Raw genomic sequence first — 2,978 nt, 5'->3', positions numbered from 1 at the left:
GAAATTTGGAAAACTTGTATTGACCACCATAAGACTGACAGCTTTCCAAATCTTAAAGACTTTTCTGACAAGATGAAGGTGATATTAGTAAATATAATATTTTATGTTGCATAATAAAATGTATCAACATTTGGAAGATCTGCATATCTCAGTGAACCAATATTTTCAATATTTTCCAAAAGGCAAATGCATGATATTACAGTTTTGCATGGATAAAAGACTGATTAAAATACAAGACAAGCAGATGAATTTAATATAACAGAGCCTGAAGAGTTTACTGATATGGTTTCAGTTTCTACATGACAACTAACCATTAAGAAACTACTACTTTGGGAGGAGCCAAGATGGCCGAATAGGAACAGCTCCAGTCTACAGCTCCCAGCATGAGAGACACAGAAGATGGGTGATTTCTGCATTTCCATCTGAGGTACCGGGTTCATCTCACTAGGGAGTGCCAGACAGTGGGCACAAGTCAGTGGTTGCATGCACCGTGCACGAGCCAAAGCAGGGCGAGGCATTGCCTCACTTGGGAAGCGCAAGGGGTCAGGGAGTTCCCTTTCCGAGTCAAAGAAAGAGGTGACAGATGCACCTGGAAAATCGGGTCACTCCCACCCGAATATTGCGCTTTTCGGACCGGCTTAAAAAACGGCACACCACGAGATTATATCCCGCACCTAGCTCGGAGGGTCCTACGCCCACGGAGTCTCACTGATCGCTAGCACAGCAGTCTGAGATCAAACTGCAAGGCGGCAGCAAGGCTGGGGGAGGGGCGCCTGCGATTGCCTAGGCTTGCTTAGGTAAACAAAGCAGCCGGGAAGCTCGAACTGGGTGGAGCCCACCACAGCTCAAGGAGGCCTGCGTGCCTCTGTAGGCTCCACCTCTGGGGGCAGGGCACAGACAAACAAAAAGACAGCAGTAACCTCTGCAGACTTAAATGTCCCTGTCTGACAGCTTTGAAGAGAGCAGTGGTTCTCCCAGCATGCAGCTGGAGATCTGGGAACGGGCAGACTGCCTCCTCAAGTAGGTCCCTGACCGCTGACCCCCGAGCAGCCTAACTGGGAGGCACTCCCCAGCAGGGGCACACTGACACCTCACACGGCAGGGTATTCCAACAGACCTGCAGCTGAGGGTCCTGTCTGTTAGAAGGAAAACTAACAAACAGAAAGGACATCCACACCAAAAACCCATCTGTACATCACCATCATCAAAGACCAAAAGTAGACAAAACCACAAAGATGGGGAAAAAACAGAACAGAAAAACTGGAAACTCTAAAACGCAGAGCGCCTCTCCTCCTCCAAAGGAACGCAGTTCCTCACCAGCAATGGAACAAAGCTGGATGGAGAATGACTTTGACGAGCTGAGAGAAGAAGGCTTCAGACGATCAAATTACTCTGAGCTACGGGAGGACATTCAAACCAAAGGCAAAGAAGTTAAAAACTTTGAAAAAAATTTAGAAGAATGTATAACTAGAATAACCAATACAGAGAAGTGCTTAAAGGAGCTGATGGAGCTGAAAACCAAGGCTCGAGAACTACGTGAAGAATGCAGAAGCCTCAGGAGCTGATGCGATCAACTGGAAGAAAGGGTATCAGCAATGGAAGATGAAATGAATGAAATGAAGCGAGAAGGGAAGTTTAGAGAAAAAAGAATAAAAAGAAATGAGCAAAGCCTCCAAGAAATATGGGACTATGTGAAAAGACCAAATCTACGTCTGATTGGTGTACCTGAAAGTGATGGGGAGAATGGAACCAAGTTGGAAAACACTCTGCAGGATATTATCCAGGAGAACTTCCCCAATCTAGCAAGGCAGGCCAATGTTCAGATTCAGGAAATACAGAGAATGACACAAAGATACTCCTCGAGAAGAGCAACTCCAAGACACATAATTGTCAGATTCACCAAAGTTGAAATGAAGGAAAAAATGTTAAGGGCAGCAAGAGAGAAAGGTCGGGTTACCCACAAAGGGAAGCCCATCAGACTAACAGCGGATCTCTGGGCAGAAACCCTACAAGCCAGAAGAGAGTGGGGGCCAATATTCAACATTCTTAAAGAAAAGAATTTTCAACCCAGAATTTCACATCCAGCCAAACTAAGCTTCATAAGTGAAGGAGAAATAAAATCCTTTACAGACAAGCAAATGCTGAGAGATTTTGTCACCACCAGGCCTGCCCTAAAAGAGCTCCTGAAGGAAGCGCTAAACATGGAAAGGAAAAACTGGTACCAGCTGCTGCAAAATCATGCCAAAATGTAAAGACCATCGAGACTAGGAAGAAACTGCATTAACTAATGAGCAAAATCACCAGCTAACATCATAATGACAGGATCAAATTCACACATAACACTATTAACTTTAAATGTACATGGACTAAATGCTCCAATTAAAAGACACAGACTGGCAAATTGGATAAAGAGTCAAGACCCATCAGTGTGCTGTATTCAGGAAACCCATCTCACGTGCAGAGACACACATAGGCTCAAAATAAAAGGATGGAGGAAGATCTACCAAGCAAATGGAAAACAAAAAAAGGCAGGGGTTGCAATCCTAGTCTCGGATAAAACAGACTTTAAACCAACAAAGATCAAAAGACACAAAGAAGGCCATTACATAATGGTAAAGGGATCAATTCAACAAGAAGAGCTAACTATCCTAAATATATATGCACCCAATACAGGAGCACCCAGATTCATAAAGCAAGTCCTGACTGACCTACAAAGAGACTTAGACTCCCACACATTAATAATGGGAGACTTTAACACCCCACTGTCAACATTAGACAGATCAACGAGACAGAAAGTCAACAAGGATACCCAGAAATTGAACTCAGCTCTGCACCAAGCGGACCTAATAGACATCTACAGAACTCTCCACCCCAAATCAACAGAATATACATTTTTTTCAGCACCACAGCACACCTATTCCAAAATTGACCACATACTTGGAAGTAAAGCACTCCTCAGCAAATGTAAAAGAACAGAA

General features: G+C 44.1%; 1 annotated feature.

Moving 5' to 3' along the window:
* Nucleotides 629-1,219: an enhancer, noted in NCBI's record as "NANOG-H3K4me1 hESC enhancer chr12:98050058-98050648 (GRCh37/hg19 assembly coordinates)". NCBI's record gives its function as "activates a minimal SCP1, AML or CMV promoter by ChIP-STARR-seq in naive H9 embryonic stem cells {active_cell/tissue: H9 hESC(naive)}" and the evidence as "EXISTENCE:reporter gene assay evidence [ECO:0000049][PMID:30033119]".

This window comes from Homo sapiens, chromosome 12 (genome assembly GCF_000001405.40).
Source record: "Homo sapiens chromosome 12, GRCh38.p14 Primary Assembly".
NCBI lineage: Eukaryota > Metazoa > Chordata > Mammalia > Primates > Hominidae > Homo > Homo sapiens.
This window is presented reverse-complemented; position numbering and strand designations above follow the sequence as displayed.